General features: G+C 38.4%; 1 long non-coding RNA gene across 1 annotated transcript, besides 3 other annotated features; it reads right to left on the minus strand.

Moving 5' to 3' along the window:
• Positions 1 to 6,562: 6,562 nt before the first annotated feature.
• LOC105373652 (uncharacterized) lies at positions 6,563 to 14,544 on the minus strand. Its single transcript, XR_923389.3, has 5 exons — positions 14,482 to 14,544; positions 14,210 to 14,331; positions 13,121 to 13,292; positions 9,132 to 9,257; positions 6,563 to 6,796 (listed from the first exon to the last, which is right to left on the minus strand). It is a non-coding gene; the product is annotated as an uncharacterized LOC105373652 (long non-coding RNA).
• Positions 12,052 to 12,271: an enhancer, noted in NCBI's record as "active region_16598". NCBI's record gives its function as "activates an Ori minimal core promoter by ATAC-STARR-seq in GM12878 lymphoblastoid cells {active_cell/tissue: GM12878}" and the evidence as "EXISTENCE:reporter gene assay evidence [ECO:0000049][PMID:35858748]".
• Positions 13,461 to 13,605: an enhancer, noted in NCBI's record as "145 bp enhancer 151 fragment used in the MPRA reporter construct; PK_construct_448". NCBI's record gives its function as "activates an SV40 promoter by MPRA in HepG2 cells {active_cell/tissue: HepG2}" and the evidence as "EXISTENCE:reporter gene assay evidence [ECO:0000049][PMID:23512712]".
• Positions 13,527 to 13,540: a transcriptional cis regulatory region, noted in NCBI's record as "HNF1 motif; enhancer activity is reduced when this motif is scrambled". NCBI's record gives its function as "necessary for full MPRA enhancer 151 activity {active_cell/tissue: HepG2}" and the evidence as "EXISTENCE:site-directed mutagenesis evidence [ECO:0005528][PMID:23512712]".

The following is a 20,367-nucleotide window of genomic DNA, read 5'->3' on the forward strand; positions in this document are numbered from 1 at the left end:
CTTTTCTTGGCCAGGCGTGGTGGTGGCTCACGCCTATAATCCCAGCACTTTGGGTGGCCCAGGCAGGCAGATCACAATGTCAGGAGATCGAGACCATCCTGGCTACCACGGTGAAACCCCAGCTCTACTAAAAATGCAAAAACTTAGCCAGGCACGGTGGCACGCACCTGTAGTCCCAGCTACTCAGGAGGCTGAGGCAGGAGAATGGCATGAGCCTGGGAGGCGGAGCTTGCAGTGAGCCGAGATCATGCCACTGCACTCCAGCCTGGGCGACAGAGCAAGACTCCGTCTCAAAAACAAAAGAAAAAAAAAAGAAAGAAAGAAAGAAAAGTACTTTTCTTATGCATTACAGCTTTTTGAGATAATTATTGTGTAATTTCTAATATAGACAGCAGCCTATTTTGACAGACTGCCTTTTTAACACAGGATTTTTTTTCAGAGCCACATTCACAGAACTTTGCTGATCTACTTTCAATGAAGAATCCTTTAAGATAAATCCTCTATTTAAAGACTTTAACTAGAATGTTTTATTTTTGCTGCATTGTTTACCTCCTGCTCTAGTTGTGTGTTGGAATTTCAGTAGGGTGCAGAGGAAATGGAAACTGGGGAGACATCCAAACCTGGTCTGGGACAAAGAGAGTTGGAGCTGGCACTGAAGGAGATCTCTAGGGACCCCAGAAACCAATAACAGCCAGTAGGGAAGAGATAGAGAGATTAGAGAAACAGAATCAGACAAATAATATACTTTCATGGTGTAAAAATGAATTTGAAAAAAAAAGTGGAGATCCAGGTAAATGTAATTCACGTTGACTGAAAGTAGGCTTGGGCTTGCATTAAAAAAATTACATCATATTTTACTCTTCAGCTTTCAAGTGTCCCGTTAGAACTAGAATTGCTCTTTGGTAGCAGTTAGATAGAGTTATTTTTGACCTGCATCATTTGGTTATTTTGAGAATTTCTTTTTTCAAACAGGAAAAAAAAAAATTAGGGCCGGGCATGGTGTGGCTCACGCCTGTAATCCCAACACTTTGGGAGGCTGAGGCAGGTGGATTGCCTGAGCTCAGAAATTTGAGACCAGCCTGGCCAAAATAGCAAAACATTGTCTCTACAAAAAGCACAAAAATTAGCTGGGCGTGTTGGTGCATGCCTGTAGTCCCAGCTACTCTGGAGGCTGAGGAGGAGGATGGATTGAGCCCAGGAGGTAGAAGCTGCAATGAGCTGTGTTTGCACCACTGCACTCCAGCCTGAGTGACAGAGTAAGACCCCATCTCTTAAAAAAAAAAAAAAAAATGGAGGTTATTCGGTGGAATGGTTTTGCTAGCAATAATAGGCCAATAATAGGCCAAACTTACTATGGCAGTCTTTATCCAATAGCTATGCCTATCATGGATTCAGCTTGGTGAAATCCTTCTCTACAAGCCTCTTTTTCTATTTTCACAACTAAACACTGGGAGAGAGGGGAAGTCTAAGATGAAACCTTGCTTTATAACAAATTTGCCCAAGCACTGCCCGAGTCATTGTGAAGTTCAAGTATATTTTTGCTTTGTTTTTTAAATGTGTACTTTTTTGTTTACTTGTGAAAATAACCATCTTCAAGCATATTTATTTTTCTGCCCCTTCTATTTATTTAAAGACAGGCAATATTTTCTTGACCACAAATATTTTGTAATGAATCACACCCTCTATCCTAAGGCTTTGTATGCTATTGCATAATTACACTGGTGGCAATATAGAGTTTGAATTTCAGTCTATAAATATGTTTTTTGGAAAACAGAAATTGTCATTGCTTAAAAAAATTTGGATATTGGTGATTTGATTTTGGTGACTTGGTGGAAAGTCATTTGAGAACCTCATGGTTCTTTTTTAATTGCCGACAAAAAGTGGCTTTTTGTAAGTTGGATAAAATGAGTAAATGAAATTGTATCTAGAGAAGTTAAGAGTAAGTGTAATCTTTGTGGGTTGGAAAGCAGTTTTAACACAGAAGGACCTATTTACAAATAAGTCTGTTTAGCTTTGAAAGAGTTTGAGAAAAAAAAATCCATTGTGAAAATAAAGCAATGGTATGATTAATCCAGAACCTTCATTCTTATGCCAATAAAAGGAGGTATCCCAATTTTAAAAAGATTTCTCACTTTAAAAAAAAAAGAGAGACAGAGACAGAGAGAGAGAAGGGAGAGAGAAAAGGACTGTAATCAAGACTCTATACCCAGCCCTGAATCATTCATCTGTCAGAGCAAATAAAGCTATCTAATGATACGCAAATAATCAAAACCATATTATTCTACACCGGTTAGAGGAGAAATGGATCGAATTAAAACCAAACAATAACTAGAACAGATTGCTCAAGTATCACTATGGAGGAGAGAGATCCCCCAACCAAGAAAAGGGTATTTTGTGAGCTCCATTCTGGGGGAAAAAGATTGGGGATGCTGGAAATCAAATAATAAATACAGTAAGTATGTTATTTGGTCAGCCTACATGCTTTATTGAAGTGCAACTAAAGTCCTAGTCTTTACTAGTTCTCTATCCAATTGTGCTCAGCCTAAAGTTGAATCTATGTACGTTTTAGTGTCTGCATTTTTATTATCAAGATTTTAATTGATGTTTCTTTTATACTCATATTTTATTGTTTCAATCTTCCTGTTTTTTACTTCCTAAATAATCTAAAACACACTTATTCCTCTGACCATAATTTGATGTGGAAGAAATTTGTCATCTGAGTGCTTAATCATTGTGTATGTCTTTCTGAGTGTTATGCTACTTAATATAATTTGAAATTTTACTTTGTAGACTTAAGAAATAATTTCATGTGATTATTAATATTCTCTCTCTCCTCCCACTCTAATTGCCTTACTCAAATCATGCCCACCCACTCAATTCTGTTTTTCAAAAGTAACAGTCATAGTTCCAGTAGCCCAACTTGTAAGAGGCACTTCTGCCTCCTACGGGAGCCAAACTTGTATCTTTTTTTCTTTTTACCCAGATCCAGAGCACTTTAGGCCCATAACTTCAGCCCTACTTAGGGTTTTGTTGTTGTTTTTCTACTTCTTATCCACAGAAGTATGTCTTCTTTGAATCCCAGCTATGATTATTTTGCTTTTCTTTTATTATGTTGTCTATTATTGCAGTTTTGAGGACTATGTTGTGTGGAAGTCTTCCCACTTCCTCTCTTTTTCCCTCAATCTCTCTCTCTCCCTCTCGCAAACACATACACACATATATCTTATTTTCTTTCCTTTGATCCATTCCTAATCGAATTCCCTCTTAGAATAAGCATTGATTATTTCTTTCATAATCTGCATTCTTCCCAAACCACTGTCCATGCCATTATTTATACCCATGGGGATTTTTGAATAATATATAGTATATGCTTGTATGTTTTATGATCAAAATTGCATTATATACTACGTATCATGAAAATGTCATGATTGTGGTTTTTACTGAATATTTTACTTTTGATATCTCTGTCGATATAGATAGATATTATTCTTTCTACTGTTCTATAGTATTCCATCATATGCATATCACATATTGTGTCTCTTCATTTTCTTATGTTTAACATTTCTAATCTTTGTTATGGAAAACATGCTTATATGGACAATAGCCCACATTTCTCTTTGTAAGTGAAGAAGTGTTTCTGCGGGATCCAGTACAGATAGGGCTGATTTCCAGCTGGACAGGAAGAGCTCTATCTGTATCTCTGGAGGTGCCTAGAAGACTGGTTTTTGAACCTTTGCCAAGGAAGGGGCAATGGAATTCATGATATTCTGTTCAGGGTTTGAAACTTTCCTAGATACCCAAAGTTATCTTCCTTTCACTCTGTCACTCAGGCTGGTGTGCAGTGGTAGGATCTCAGCTCACTGCAACCTCGACCTCTCAGGCTCAAGCAATCCGTCCACCTCAGTCTCTGCACTAGCTGAGACTATGGGCATGCACCACAACGTCCAGCTAATTTTTTTTATTTTTTGTAGAGATGGCATTTTGCAGTGTTGCCCAGGCTGGTCTTGAACTCCTGGACTCAAGCAATCTGCCTGCCTTGGCCTCTCAAAGTGTTGGCATTACAGGAATGCACCACCACGCCAAGCCCAAAGTTAGCTTCTTTATTGTTGACTTTGTCTTAACCCATTGGATAAGCCTGATTTTACTATTTAAGGAGGCACTGAGAGCTTTTGAGGGGAGCTCTTCCAAAGACAAAATTCCTAGCACAGATCCTGGAAATTTGAATCAGAGACTCAGCTCAGTCCTAGAGCTCAAAGATAAGACCCCCAAGAGCTCATGCTGTAGGTATCTCTTGGATTTCCAAAGCTTGCCTGCATTCTTTAGATATTAGGTTGGTGCAAAAAGCCTTAAAAGCCTCAAGGAGGTCTGGTGAGACACTTTAAATAACTGATGTGGGAAAAAAACAATACAGATATATACCCAGGAGTAAAATTGCTGGGACATTGGGTATGTTCCTATTTAGTGTCAATAAACTGAATAAAGCTATTTATAATGGCTGTACTGGAACAGAGTGCAAAGTGGACTTCCTACTTTTCCACATTCTTTCCAGCTGTAAATATTATCTAAATTTTTAATTGTTAACAACATGATTCATATATTAAAATATTTCAGCATGCCTTTAACATGCACTTCTCTGATTTCTAAAGTGCCCATCTCTTTAAAAATGCATTAGCCATTCAGGTTTTCCCTTTGGGAATTGCTTATTTTAATTCCTTGGTCATTTTTCTATTGTGTCTTCTTTCTTCCCGAGGAGCTTCTTAAATATTCTAGATATAAATTTTTTCCTAATCTGTCACTTTCCTATTAACTGGGCCTATTATATCTCTACTTCAGTTTTCTGATTTGTAAAGTAGAAATAATCATACCTATAACTCTTTCTTTTTTTTGCCTCTAAGGATTAAATGAGATAATGAATGTGAAACACTAATACAACATCTGACACATAGTGAGGGTTCAATACCACCAGGGATTTATTAAGCCTCTTTCTTTTTTATATATACTTTAAGGTTAAGGGTACATGTGCACAATGTGCAGGTTAGTTACATATGTATACATGTGCCATGTTGGTGTGCTGCACCCATTAACTCGTCATTTAACATTAGGTATATCTCCAAATGCTATCCCTCCCCCCTCCCCCCACCCCACAACAGGCCCCAGTGTGTGATGTTCCCCTTCCTGTGTCCATGTGTTCTCATTGTTCAATTCCCACCTATGAGTGAGAACATGCGGTGTTTGGTTTTTTGTCCTTGCAATAGTTTGCTGAGAATGAGGGTTTCCGGCTTCATCTATGGCCCTACAAAGGACATGAACTCATCATTTTTTATGACTGCATAGTATTCCATGGTGTATATGTGCCACATTTTCTTAATCCAGTCTATCATTGTTGGACATTTGGCTTGGTTCCAAGTCTTTGCTATTGTGAATAGTGCCGCAATAAACATACATCTCCATGTGTCTTTATAGCAGCATGATTTATAATTCTTTGGGCATATACCCAGTAATGGGATGGCTGGGTCAAATGGTATTTCTAGTTCTAGATCCCTGAGGAATCGCCATACTGACTTCCACAATGGTTGAACTACTTTACAGTCCCACTAACAGTGTAAAAGTCTTCCTATTTCTCCACATCCTCTCCAGCACCTGTTGTTTCCTGACTTTTTAATGATTGCCATTCTAACTGGTGTGAGATGGTATCTCATTGTGGTTTTGATTTGCATTTCTCTGATGGCCAGTGATGATGAGCATTTTTTCATGTGTCTTTTGGCTGCATAAATGTCTTCTTTTGAGAAGTGTCTCTTTTCAAATTGAATTGATATTTTGTTGTACCTAGATATATGTATAAATTTAGGAAATTTAAGTTTAATCTAGATTTAAACTAAGTGGTTTTCCAGTAGCATATAAAATCTTAGGCTAGACACCTTAAGCTTAGCATGTAGACTACAGTGATAGACAAAGATGTGCTGGGAAATCAGGAGCCTTACTCTGTTCTTGAACCCACATTAGCCGGGCACTCCTGCCTGTGTGGGAAAGAGACCCTGTCCTTAAATCTGACCTCCCTTTCTGCATCAGGTACCTGACCTGCCGATGACAAAGGGATTCACAAAAGTACCCATTAAATCTATATGTTTATATTTTCAAAACTGTGACACTTTCATCATCATTACTCTACTCTAGCCCTTCCTGCAGGGTTTATTACCCAGGTTGTCAAAATATTTTGAAAAAGACATCGTGAAACACAACGTCTATGTTGTATCTGATTTCCTTTCCTGAAGAAAAACAAGCCTAGAAGGGAAAGGAAAAAAAATGTACTGCTAATATCATGATAGGGAGTAAAATAATTCATAAATTGATGAGTCAAGATGTGTTTTCTAAAATTTGCATTATAGATATTAGCAAACAGAGATAGATATGAAAGACAGTGGAGCAATTGGAATGTTTTTAAATGTGCATGGCATATTTTTTAGTAGAAAGTTTTCCTTTCAGTTGCTAAACAAATTCTCTAAACATTAAAAATATTTCAGAAGTTATCAGGAAATAATCATTAAAGTAAATTGCTAGTTGGTAAATTCCCACTCCAATGTCCATTCTTGGCTCTATTAATTCATACTCTAATCTTAGTTGGAGTCTTTACTAGCAAGGTGTCCTGGGGAGCATTTTATATTCACTTACTAAATCAGATTAGTCTAAGATGCACCTTTTCCCAGAACTGTGTACACTCAGCCGAGGTTGGTAGACAACATTTCATTCCTTAAAGATCATGCCAGGAGTATTCTGCCGAGGAAATGAAAGACCACATCTAGAAACAGAGGAAAAGAGTGAAGTGCGAGCTTTATTCGCAATGTCTGCAGTAAGTAAACGAGAGGGAGTAGGTTCATGTGTGTATACTCTGCTCTGGAACCCTCTCTGACTTCCCCAGGCAGAACAATTATTACATCTTGCCATTCCATGAGGATGTAATTTCAGAATATTTTGAAGGGCTCAATTCTAATCATGTTCTCTGGAGATCTAATAGAGTAAATATAAATATAAAATAATTACTTTTCTTGAAAGATTTCAGATCAGCTATGGACTTTTATTGCATTAATCAATAAATTCAATTAATTTATCAAGTAGATTACTAGATATTACAGATTTAGAAATTATACATATGCTAGGGTTTTCCAAACTGAGCTAACCCTCTTAATTCAATGGGCACTGTAAGTGTACTCATAATTGTTTTGTAAACCATATGTCAATAGACTCTATTCTCACAAACATAAAGGAAAGTGTCTCTTTTATTGCTTTGTACTGTAATTGTACTGTAGTCAAGACAGAGAGCACAAGAAGAAAGAGTAATAGACACAATAGGGATATCTCATACAACATGAGTTGGACTCATTAAATAAACAAAGACTTTGGGTCAACAGTTAAGCTAAGAGACAGAGTTGCAAAGAATAAGCTTTTCCTATGATCTCTAGCTGAAAATGTAAACACAGTCTTTTTTGTGGACATGCAGTGGAAAGGATTAGTTCTAACTCTCTGCCGGTATGTGTGTGTATATGTTTCTCCTGCCGTCCCTGGGATTGCTCATGATAGAAGCAACTTCATTTTTGAGAGAGTAGGCTGTGGGGTGTGACAATGAGGAAAGAAGTACTGGTAAAGAATTTCCTCTTTGTAATGCTTCTACAGCTAGAGTTTAATAATACCAGGGGGCATTCTTATTAATGTGATGGCTTTTTATTTTTTTTGAGACAGAATAATCACTCTGTCACCCAGCCTGGAGTGCAGTGGTACAATCTTTGCTCACTGCAACCCCGCTGCCCAGGTTCAAGTGATTCTTGTGCCTCAGCCTCCTGAGTAGCTAGGATTACAGGCACACACTACCACACTCGGCTAATTTTTGTATTTTTAGTAGAGACAAGGTTTCACCATGTTGGCCAGGCTGGTCTCGAACTCCTGGCCTCAAGTGATCTGCCCACCTTGGCCTCCCAAAGTGCTGGGATTACTGGCATGAGCCACTGCACCCGGCCTAATGTGATGGTTTTTTTAATGTGATGGCTTCTTTAAAAAAAAAAGGGTTTGTTTTATTCTGGTGGATTTTTTAAAATTTTAATTAAAATTGTTTACCTCTGCCATGTTTTACTTGTAAAATTTTGTTAGTGAAAATTAGACTAAAATAAATTTTCTGACCAATGACTAAAAATCATCATATTTCAACATGCTTTTCTATTTGAAACCAGAAGTAAGTCCTTGCATATTAAAGGATTTTAAGCTTAACCTGTTAAAAATATTGTTTGTGTGGAATAACTTTCTCTTTTGTCTACTTAATGTATGCCTACTCAAGCTAACAGCCCAAGTTATACTCATGCTAGATCTAGACAGTAAACTGATGCTCAGGCATATGGCTCAACATTGATTTTTTTTGTTTTTATTGTTTTTAAATTTTCTAGTCCATTGTCATAATGCTTTTATTTTTGGTGTTGATTTTAATTTGTGATATTTTAATATAATTTATTTTATTTATTTATTTATTTATTTATTTATTTATTTATTTATTTATTTTTATTTTTTTATTTTTTGAGTCGGAATCTTGCTCCATCACCCAGGCTGGAGTGCAATGGCTCAATCTCAGCTCACTGCCACCTCCACCTCCAGGGTTCAAGCAATTCTCCTGCCTCAGCCTCCTGAGTAGTTGGGATTACAGGCACCTGCCACCACGCCTGGCTAATTTTTGTATTTTTAGTAGAGATAGGGTTTCACCATATTGACCAGGCTGGTCTCTTGGCCAGGCTGGTCTTGAACTTCTGACCTTGTGATCCGCCCGCCTCAGCTTCCCAAAGTGCTGGGATTACAGCGTGAGCCACCGCACCTGGCAATATATTTAATTTCTTAACATAACTATTTATTAGTAGATTTTGGTGAAAAGAGACAACACAGTGGCAATATAATCTAATTCATTATATAATTTAATAACCTGAATTCAGGACACATTTGATTACCTCCTATGTAAAAGGCAGTAAAGAAAGATAAAACTTCATGCTCAGGTAACAAATATTCTAGTAAAAAAAGGTAATTATCTTGGTCCGTTTGCGTTGCTATAACAAAATACCTTAGACTGGCTCATTGATAAAAAATAAAAATTTATTTCTCACAGTTCTGGAGTCTGGGAAATCCAAGATCAAGGTGCTGGCAGATTTGGTGTCTGGTGAGGGCTGCTTTCTGCTTCCAAGATGGTGCCTTATTGTTGCATCCTCTGGAGAAGGAGGTAAAGCCGTGTCCTCACATGGTAGAAGGAGAATAGAAAAGAAAAAGGCTCATTTTTCAGAGATAATGCAGTCTAGGTGTCCTCATATGGCAAAAGGCATGGGAGCAGGGAGGCAGCTCTATGATGCATTTTTTAAAAGGGCATTTATCTTATCCATGAAGGCAGAATTCTCATAGCCTAATGACCTGCGAAGCACCCCACCTCCTAATACCACCTCCTAGGGGGTTAGGTTCCATCATATGAATTTTGGAGCAATACATACAAACAAATCACAGCAGCAATCATGTGTACAGGTAAAGTGAGAACTTAGCCTATACTAAGGGTTATTAAGAGCAGTACAAAAACTGCTACAAGTACAAAAATAAAGGGATATGTTTGTCCTTAGTAACCCAAGGAAAAGAGTGGAGTGAGATTGAAAGAGAAGACAAAGGAGAATGAGAATAGAAATTAACTGAGATTTGCACTGTAAAAGAAGTGATAGGAACGAAAGCTTTCAATGTAGAGGCTGTCAGCAGAGAAGGCAGTTTTTGATTTGTCAATTAGGAAGTCATTAGACCTTTGTCAGAGAGGAGGTTCAGTAACACTGTGGAAGTGAAAGTAAGATTTAAGGGGAACTTGCAGTTAAAGGGGCAGACTAGCCACTTTTACACTGCTCTTCTCTTTAAAGCCAAGAGAATATGAAAAAAAAAAAAGCTTTTTAGAAAACTGAGAAGAAAATTCTGTCTTTAATAAAAGTTAATAGCTATAATCTTAAACCACAAACTATTATATTAAGAATAGCTCTTGAATAAAATGAAGTTTCAGACCTACGAAGTCCAAGTGTGGGGCCAGACACAGTGGCTTATGCCTGTAATCCCAGCACTTCGGGAGGCCAAGGCAGGTGGAATGTTTGAGCCTAGGAGTTTGAGACTAGCCTGGGCAACATAGGGAGACTCCCATCTCTATAAAATAAAAATACAAAAATCAGACAGATGTAGTGGCATGCGCCTGTAGTCTCAGCTTCTCAGGAGGCTGAGGTGGGAGATTGCTTGAGCCTGGGAGGTCCAGGCTGCAGTGAGCCACTGAGCCATGATTGCACCACTGCACTCTAGCCTGGGCAGCAAAACCTGACCCTGTCACAAATAAATAAATATAAAAAAAGAAGCTAGGCATAGAGAGTGCACTCTTATCTTTTGTGAGCCAGGGAGTTCTCCCTGGACAGGAGGTATGGTCCCGTGGAATACAGTGAAGAATATCTTGGCTAGGTGTGGTGGCTCATGCCTGTAATCCCAACATTTTGGGAGGCTGAGGTGGGAGAATTGCTTGATCTCAGGAGTTTGAGACCAGCCTGGGCAAATTAGGGAGTCTACCAAAAAAAATTTTAAATTAGCTAGGTGCAGTGGCACATGCCTGTAGGGCTGAGGAGGGAGGATCACTTGAGCCTGGAACTTGGAGGTCGAGGCTACGGTGCACTGTGATGGTGCTACTGCCTTCCAGCCTGAGCAGCCAGAGTGAGACCCTGTCTCAAAAAATTAAAAAAAAAAAAAAAATCTTACCCAGAGTAGTAATTTTGGAAAATTGGATAGACCAGGGAGCAATCCCTAAACTCCATTCCACTCTGAGTATTGGAAAGAGACATAAGACTGAAGGAGACAGTGTATAGAAAGTACATAGCCATTACTATAAAGCATTGCAGCAGGTTTGATAGGGAAGTAAAGATCAGCAGCCATTGGCTTCAAACATGATGATCAAGTTTAGCTAAGTCATCTTGCCACATGAAACCTACGTTACCTGGTGCTAAACTTGAGTCGTGTTGATTTCCTGCTTTAATAACAAAGAGAATTGGGCCATACCAGGCAGATAAATCCACACATACCTCCAGGATACCTCATACCTCCAGTCATACTTCTGATTTATAGAACATGTTACCTCCTTCAGAAGTAATTATCTTATTTCCTCTCTATCTTATTGTATTTTTAAAAATTTCTTGCAGAGATGGGGCCTCACTTTGTTGCCCAGGCTCATCTTGAGCTCCTGGCCTCAAGCAGTGTTCCTGCCTCAGCATCCCAAAGCATTGAGATTACAGGCATGAGCCACCACACCCAGCCGGAAACATTTTAAAAAGAGACAACAAACTGACTGGAGTACAAAGTAATATCTCAAAGTTAGGATTGAAACTCAAGTTGATTTCCTAAAAAGGGCAATCAAGAAAGAAAATATTCCTGCCTTCTGATCAGTGGTGAATGGGAAAAAAGAAAGAAAGAAAGAGACACAAAAAAGAATATTGCAAAGAAAAGAAGTAACTGCACTTAAGGAAAAACAGAGAGGCAAGTGAGAGAGTTTGGGGCAGTTCAATTTTAAGTTTGCTGAACTATAGCATCCATGGGGAAGAGACACTCAAAATGAGACTCTAGAACTAGGCACAGGCCCGGTGTGTCATATTAAAACTTCACCCTTTTCAGATATCAATAAGAAAGGCTTTTAAGCCTGGGCAACATAGTGAGACCCCCATCTCTACAATGAAAAATAATCATAATATAGAAAAAAATGTATTTTATAAAAGGCCTTTACATAATATCTTAAGACATGATTTCATTTGCATTTTAGAAAAATTGATCTATGGATGACATAGAGTTTTGATTATAAGGTGAAATATAGAGACAGGGAATGAAGTTAAGAAACTGTCCAAAGGAAGTTGTAACATGATGATGAGACAGGATTCTTTTGCTGCCGCTTTGCCAGCTGAAAACCTCTGTGGCTGGTACTCTGCCCCAGCTTTGCTCAGTCCCTCTGGGCTTGCTCCGCCCGCTTGGCCTGGCAGGCTGTTGTTGGCTCACTCCCAGATTCTGTGATCACCACAGCTCTGCGCACAGCCCATAGTGGGACCGGGTGTGCCCAAAGTGGTTTCCACAGCTGGGTGTGGGCCTTCAGACAAGGAGGGACAAGGTGGTGCCAGAGAACTCAGAAAAACAAGCAACCACGGAGCACCAAGTGGGGGTCACAGCTTCTGCTAGGGGAGTCCCGAGGTCTGAGACACCGGGGAATGCCACAACTCTCTTTCTCCTTCCTGCTGCTTGCAGCTCGGCGAGTGGGAACGTATTATAGCTTGTTCATTCCTGCCGCCTGTGGCTTAGTGAACAGTGGTGTGTTACAGCTCTGGCTCAGAGAGTCCCAAGGTCTGGGCCCCCAGAAGGGTCACAGCTCCTGTCATCCTCACCCCCTTCAGCTTGGTGAGCTGGCCAGGAGTATGTTACAAACTTTTTTGCTCCCATTATTCTTCAGGTTCTGGGTTCCTGTCCTGCAACCAAGAAGAATGAGGTATGCAGACAGCGTAGAGTAAGCAAGGCAGAGAATCATTTTATTGAACGACAGAAAAGCTCTCAACAGCAAGAGGGGACCCAAAGTGGGTAGCCCGCTGTGTACCAAGGGCCAGAAAGCAGGTTGCTGTCTGTGTGGCTGAGTCTGGGGTTTTTATAGGTTTGCAATTAGGAGGCGCAGGTTGTAGGTAGCCTTGGAAAAGGCAACATTTGATTGGTTAAAAAGCATTATTCATCATGCCTGTAATCCCAGCACTTTGAGGGGCCAAGGCAGGTGGATCACCTGAGGTCAGGAGTTCAAGACCAGCCTGACCAACATGGTGAGACCGCGTCTTGGCTAAAAATACAAAATTAGCGGAGTGTGGTGGCATGCCTGTAATCCCAGCTATTCGGGAGGCTGAGGCAGGAGAATCACTTGAACCTGGGAGGTGGGGGATGCAGTGAGCCAAAATCGTGCCATTGAACTCCAGCCTGGACAACAGAGTGAGACACCATCTCAAAAAAAAAAAAAAAAAAAAAAGCATTATTCAGAAAGGACCAACTAGGGAAACAGTGGGCGAACAGGAATAGAAGTTCTTACTCTGGTTGTAGACTCTATCTGGAATCAGCAGGTCGGTTTTCAGGCTTTAAATTGTCTTTGATTTGAAGGCTGGGTTTCACCAGGAACCCAACCCTGTCGGCCTAGGAATTTGTCTGTCTCCTGCCACTATCAATGACCAGTTAGACTGAGACATGCAGCAGGAGGGGGAATGCTATAGAAGGAAGGAGTAGACAGTCATTGGTCAAAGTGAAGACTCCATGTTTTCTGTTAAAAACCCAATAGAATTTATGATTCTGTGCTTTTTGTGAAAAGTCATGGATAAGAGGAAATTAGAAAGCAATTTCTTCTGCCTATGTCTTCTGGCTGATTATTTTTTTGTTCTATATTCGTGTCTTTTCATCAATTAAAAATCTGGAGTATCCTGCTTAGCTACTCATTGGTGTCAGTAAAACATTAACCTACTATTGCATTCAGCCTATGTCAGTGCAGTGAGTCCAAAGATCCATTTTTCAAGCACAATAAAGATATAGGGGTCCTGTATGAGACGAATTGCTTTTGTTTTGTTTTGTTGTTAATAGAGATGGGGTCTCGCTCTGTTGTACAGGGTGAAACACAGTGGCAGAATCGATATAAATGTAAAGTGGTATGTAGATATATATTTAAGTATGTGCCTTAAAAAAAACTAAATAAAATGACACAAAAGATATTGAAAAAGAGAAAATCAAAGAAAATATACAAGCAAAATATCAACGAAAACAGGTTTTCCTATATTAAGATAAAAATTAAATTCATAGGAAAAAGTATAACATGAACAAATGGGAATATTTTATTGAGTAAAATGAAAATAAATAATAATAATTTTAGCTACTTGGGAGGCTGAGGCAGGAGAATGGCATGAACCCGGGAGGCGGAGCTTGCAGTGAGCCGAGATCCCGCCACTGCACTCCAGCCTGGGCGACAGAGCGAGACTCTGTCTCAAAAAAAAAAAAAAAAAAAAAAAAAAAAAAAAAAAAAAAAAAAAAAATATTAACTTGTATATTCACTATATATTCCAGTATTTTTTCCCAGTTTGTCATTTGTCTTTTGTCTTTATGCAGGAAGGTTAGGAATGAGGCAGGATCATCAAACCTGGAAACTAGGGATCTCTGAAGCCACTGGAGAGCCTGAAGCATCCATGAGGCCAAGTAGCCTAGAGATGCCCATGAAGGGAATGCAGGGAGAGATCCTTCAGCTTTCACACAATGAGAAGCCTGCAGTTACAGTGAAGAAACAGTTTAACTTAGCATAACATTTATAAGTTGGAAGAAAACATTTCTAACAAACAGAACTGATATTACTCAGGATATAAAATGTTCTACTACAAATAATGCGACAGGAATATGAACCAAAGTTATGATTACCTTTGTCTTAGCATTCAGCTAGAGGTTTTGAAATGCTTTGTTGCATCACAGCTGAGAACTACTAAGAGTCAATGATTCTGCTCCTTTTGGTGTGTTGCGGCAAAGAGGAGGTTGCAAATTTCTGCTCCTGGGAAGTTTGATAGAAAACTGCAAGGCCACCTTTCCATGGTACAGACTCTTTGTCCTTGGGGCTATCCATATTGAATTGTTTTTCATATACCATATAAAGACCATTTTTTAAATTAAAAGCAATAACAATTTCTTAAAATGAACGTTAAAATAACCAGGAAATAATTTGAATTATGAAATTAAACCAATGAGATAAAGTGAAAGAACAGAATGCCAGAAACTAAGAAGTTGAGCAAAAATAAAGAATAAATAGCATAATATAAGAAATAATAAAGCTAAAACTGTGCAAAAGAAAGCAATTTAAAATAATTAATACTGAAATCAGTAAAATAGAAATAAGCATAAAAGTGAGTTATGAAATAAACTAGGGAAAGAAATAAAAGGAATAAAAAAGAGTTAAAAAATGAATCAATATTAAAATAATAATAAAAAGAAAATATAAGAAACAAATTGGACAAAAGTGAAAGAGACAAGCAACTTCATTGGAAAAAAAAATGTTAAAAAAATAAGTTGAGGGGACCACACAGTGTCTCATACCTGTAATCCTGGCACTTTGGGTGGCCGAGGTGGGCAGATCGCTTGAGTTCAGGAGTTTGAGATTAGCCTGGGCAACGTGGTGAAAACCTGTCTCTACAAAAAATGCAAAAATTAGCCGGATGTGGTAGTGCGCACCAGTGGTTCCAGCTAGTTGGGGAGGTTCAGATGGGAGGATCACTCGAGCCCAGGAGGTGGAGGTTGCAATGAGCCATGATTACACCACTGCATTCTAGCCTGGGCAGCAGAATGAGTCCCTGTCTCAAAAAGAAAAAGAAAGAAAAAAAATAAGTTGAGGGTAAGGGGATACAGGGATCTCACTGTACTTTCTGCCCAATTTTGCTATGAACCTAAAATTGCACAATGGAATAGAATAAAATCTATATAAAAGAATAAACATTTTTTAAATTAAAAATAAGCTGAAAAGGAAAATACAGTTCAACACCATGTAAAACAACAAAATATGGTAAAACAATACAGCAGGGAAAAGCTGTAATTTATTTTAGACTGAATTAGTGTATCCTGAATAAAACGAATGATTACTGTTATGTAATTATGAGTGATATTGCTCAAAACTATTGCACATATACTTGGTTGTTTACTTTGTATGTTTGCAGGATTATTTAAACTTTGTATAATCTTTTTACAAAACAATTTAAGTATAGAATCTTTCCACTTTGGGAGGCCAAGGCGGGCTGATCACGAGGTCAGGAGATCGAGACCATCCTGGCTAACACAGTGAAACCCTGTCTCTACTAAAAATACAAAAACAAAATTAGACAGGCATGGTGGTGGGCGCCTGTAGTCCCAGCTGCTCAGGAGGCTGAGGGGAGAGAATGGCGTGAACCCGGGAGGCGGAGCTTGCAGTGAGCCGAGATTACGCCACTGCACTGCAGCCTGGGTGACAGAGCGAGACTCAGTCTCAAAAACAAACAAACAAACAAAAAAACAGACTCTTTCAAGGTGAAAATAAAACCTGTTTATCTGAAATAAATAATAATAATTAGCTCTGAGGAAAATAGATGTGATACAATTCCTTATCAACTTTTTTTTTAATTGAAACAGTATTTTGAAGCTTACACTCCTATTCTTAATCAAGCTTTGGAACTGAAATTAGCATAATTTCAGAAAATGAACAGGAAAGCTCATCTTTTTGTATGATCTGGAATAGTTTGAATAACATGAGGTTCTCCTAATCTTTAATGCTGTGCTAGAATTCATATGCAAAACTTTTCAAACGTAATGTTGCCTTCTATTTTTTTTTCTGTACTTCCTGGCAGTGGGGATGTTTCCTTTTATACAATAACTCTTTAAATGCATTTTTAATCTCCTCTAAAGGAATTGTTTTCTTCAAGTGTTTCTCTTATTTGGTCAGTTTTGAAAATTTGTATTTTGCTAACTAATTATATTTTTCCTCTAAATTACAAAAATATTTCTATAGAGGACACTATTTTCTTACATGAAGACAAGTTAAAATTTCAAATGCATTTGTCCTTTTCTGTTTCTTACTAGCTCTTATTCTTATCTAATACTCTGCATCTTCCTTGTCTAGATTCAGAGCCCCTCAGAAGCACTTTTCTTTGGCTTTTGGGGACATATTGCACCATTCTTCAGATCCTAGTCTAGTGAACTCTTTTCCCCTGCCTGCGATGTGGGGTTAAGACAATTTAGGAATTTGCTATATTTTGGTGTCTGTCATACTGTAAGCTATGAGAAGTTTCAAACGACTGGCAAAATGGTGGACCCATACTGGACACTTCCAAAATGGGAAATTTTACACCGTTTATTAGTGACACTAGAAAATACTTTGCCAGACAAACATAGGAAAAAGGACAAATCCCAGAAGAGGATCTTGAAGTGACATCTCCAAACATCAGCTCTACACTATCCCTGTTGATAGTCATTTTTAATATTAAGAAAAAAAATTTTCTGTTGTAAGTTGTTATGGTAAAAGAGGGCATGTACATCGTACCTTGTACTATAGAAAGAAACCCTGGTATATGAAAGCTTTGTCTTTAAATGGAGATTTTGTAATGCCTGTTCCCGTTTTCCAGAGTCATCATGACATCAATGATGTTGTTATGTGGTCAATGATGTCAATATGACTCAAGTCACTTTGGGTTTTTCATGTTTTACAGGAAACTCAGAAATTCCTCATGTAAACAATCAGACAATTGAGCAAATTGACCTGCAAACACATATAACAGAAAACTACTAAAGTTCTTCTGCTACCGCACATGATTTAGATTGCCTTCTATACCTTTGTGAGTTTAACAGTGAGGGAAAAGTTCTGATCTAGGAAAAAGGGAATGGGTTATAGGAATTTTAGATTCTAAATAAATTTTAATCACCAACTGGCAAAATGTCATTTGCTTATAACGAGCCCTTGCATTTTCCTCTGAAAAACTGAAAATACAACATATAGAGAGGGTAGGAAAGTCCCCGCCCATTACTGAGAAATTTTTCTAATAACCAGACTATGTATCTCACAGGAAGGAAAAAGTAGATTGTCTAAACATAGCCTAGTGATTTATTAGCATATTAATTTGCTTTGCCTTCCCTGTTGTAGGAGGGAGAGGGAGAAGAAAGGAGAGTATGGGTGAGGAAATGAGAGTGCAGTGGAGGGAAGAGAGAAAAAGGGAAAAAGAAAAGGAGAGAGAGAGAGAGAGGAAGAGAAGGCAAGAGGAGGGCATTAGAGAAAGAGGAGAGAAGGCAAGAAGAGGGAAAGAGGAGGGGGCAGCAGGAAAGGAAGGAGAGGGGAAGGAAGGACAGATAAGGGGAGAGGGAAGAAGAGAGGAGAGATAATTTTGTGTGTGCTCTGTTTTTTATATTTTCCCCTACCCATATAGAGAAGATGCTGTAGGTTCCTTGGCAGAAATTGCTTAAGGCAAATCTCATGACTGGCATTTGAGAAAGTTTTTGTTATGTTATATTGGTTATCCCCAAGGGGAAGTTTGGAAAGAGTGATTGGGTGTGCAAGGCCCCAGGGATATGGTGAGGGGAAAGGAGAGGCAGGAGGGCAGAGAGAAGGAAGCTAATCTGCCCCTCCCATCTGGGAACTTCCCAACACCCTGTGTAAAGAAGAAAGGAGAGTTCCAATAATGACTCAGAGTAAATTTTCCTCCTAAGAAGTCACATGTGAGCTCTGCGTTTTTATTTAATTAAGAAAAATAGCGTATTGTGAAATTTTCTGTTTACCCAAGTTTGAGACTGCAGTTTTTTTTATTAGTTCTTTCCTAACTTGTCTCTGTCTTTAATCTCATTACTCATTTCACATACTGAGCACCCAGCATTAGAGTGTTATGATCAGCCTGGTAGTGCAGCCTTGGATTCTTACATAAAGAGTTTGCTGATCTGAATTTAATTTAGTTAATGATCCAGCAAGCACCCATTTTAGTCTACTAAATGCTAGATACTGGCCTAACTATGGCGAAAATGCCCTGAAGAATAAGAATAAAGTTCATGGTTCAAGATTACCTTTTGAGAGGACAAAACTTTCCCATATTTCCAATAATCAATTTTTAGAAAATAAACTAGATCTTAATTAAAAAAAAACAAATTAACCAATTCAGTAGATATTTATTTAGCTCCATACATAGGTAGAGCTCTGAGGAGGATAAAATTAGTCTTTTCCTCTCGGAAACATATCATTTTATAAGCAGGATGCCATACCTGGAAATTAATAGACAACTCGGAATTGTACAACAGCTTATTCTGGCAACACTTTTTTTCTTCCTGTTTCCAAAAGGAAGGAATGGTATCTCACAGTGTTCTCTGTTTAACCTTGACTGCTGGCCCTGTAGCGGGTCTTGCTTTCACCCCTCCCCGCATGACTCGTTCTCTCATAATTCCCTTCTGTATTTAGCGGCCTATGTTATTATACAAGTTTTGCTCCCCATTACATCCCTGGCATTTCACTTTGTGCTTGGTACAGAGAATATGCTTAATACTTTTCTTGAATGAATGAAAGTGTCAACTGAAGAATGACAGGTTCATACATTTGGAAAGGAGAGCTTCATTTCACATAAAGGATTGCAGCCTGCAGGGTGATCATTCTGACCTCTGAAAAGTATAGCCTCTAATCAGAAGCTGGAAACAGACATTTTGAGGGAGGAGCAAAGGAAACAGAAATTTATGTTGAGCAGGGTAGCTGAATATATATATTCAATAAGCTATAGGGGAAGCCATGAATATTTGTGAAAGGAGAAATGTGCACATGCACAATGGAGTTTCATGCTTCTCCATGGGATCCGTGTTCAAAAAATGACAGCATTAATACAATCTGAGGGGGCAGTTTTCAGCCCAATGTGAAGCAGAGGACATGAAAACCTTTACTGCACATTCTCCATAGACTAGCCAGAAACATTCCATGATCAGTATTTTCTTTTTGTTCCAAACCACAAAAGAGAGGGATAACACCAGGTGATGGTTGATGTCATTGGTGTAATCTTTTGAAATGACTGGTTTCTTTTTAGCCATAGGGCAGAAAGCCTAATCATAGTTAGTGATGGAGCGGGTATGTGTTCCACTTCCTATCCTGTCATGGCCAAAAACTTAGTTTTCAAGTTTACTCTGGGATCCCCTTGGCCAAGAGCGTGTCCGTTCAGTTAATCTAGGGGCTTGGGATTTTATTTTTATTCCTCAAATGTAACAAATTTAAAGAAAGAAAGAAATTTATAAAACATAAGAAATAGAAGTATAGCTTAGACCTCCAAGCAAGTTCTTTAAAGGTGACAAGTTAAACAGTAGTTTTTAAGATAATATTTTGATGAAATTTTTAATCATATTATTACAAGATTTTAGAAGAAGCAAGATCTTGTGAAAACAAAACCTTAATGTCCATATCTAGCTCTCTAAATCTATAGTCAGTCTTTAAAAGAGTGACACAAAAATGACACAGATCCGCCCTCTGGTTCGCTCCCCATATATTAGAGCCTGGTAATCTTCCAAAGTTTTTACAGCATGAGGCATACACAGAATAGATGCAAAAAAAGTACACCTTCTGAAATTTCCTGAATGGATTCAAACTTTTACTATTCTAAGTTAATCAATTGGTAGTCTACTTACTTTATAGGATTATTGTAAGGATAGGATCAATGAAGTGAAATATATTTTATTTTCACTGGTCAATTACTCGTATTAAAGCAATTTCATGCACTTTATCTCCCTCTCTTGGAAACTGGAGAGTAGTACTTTTTGTCTGGTTACTTAAGATTAAAAAAA

This window comes from Homo sapiens, chromosome 2 (assembly GCF_000001405.40).
Source record: "Homo sapiens chromosome 2, GRCh38.p14 Primary Assembly".
NCBI classification, from domain to species: Eukaryota; Metazoa; Chordata; class Mammalia; order Primates; family Hominidae; genus Homo; species Homo sapiens.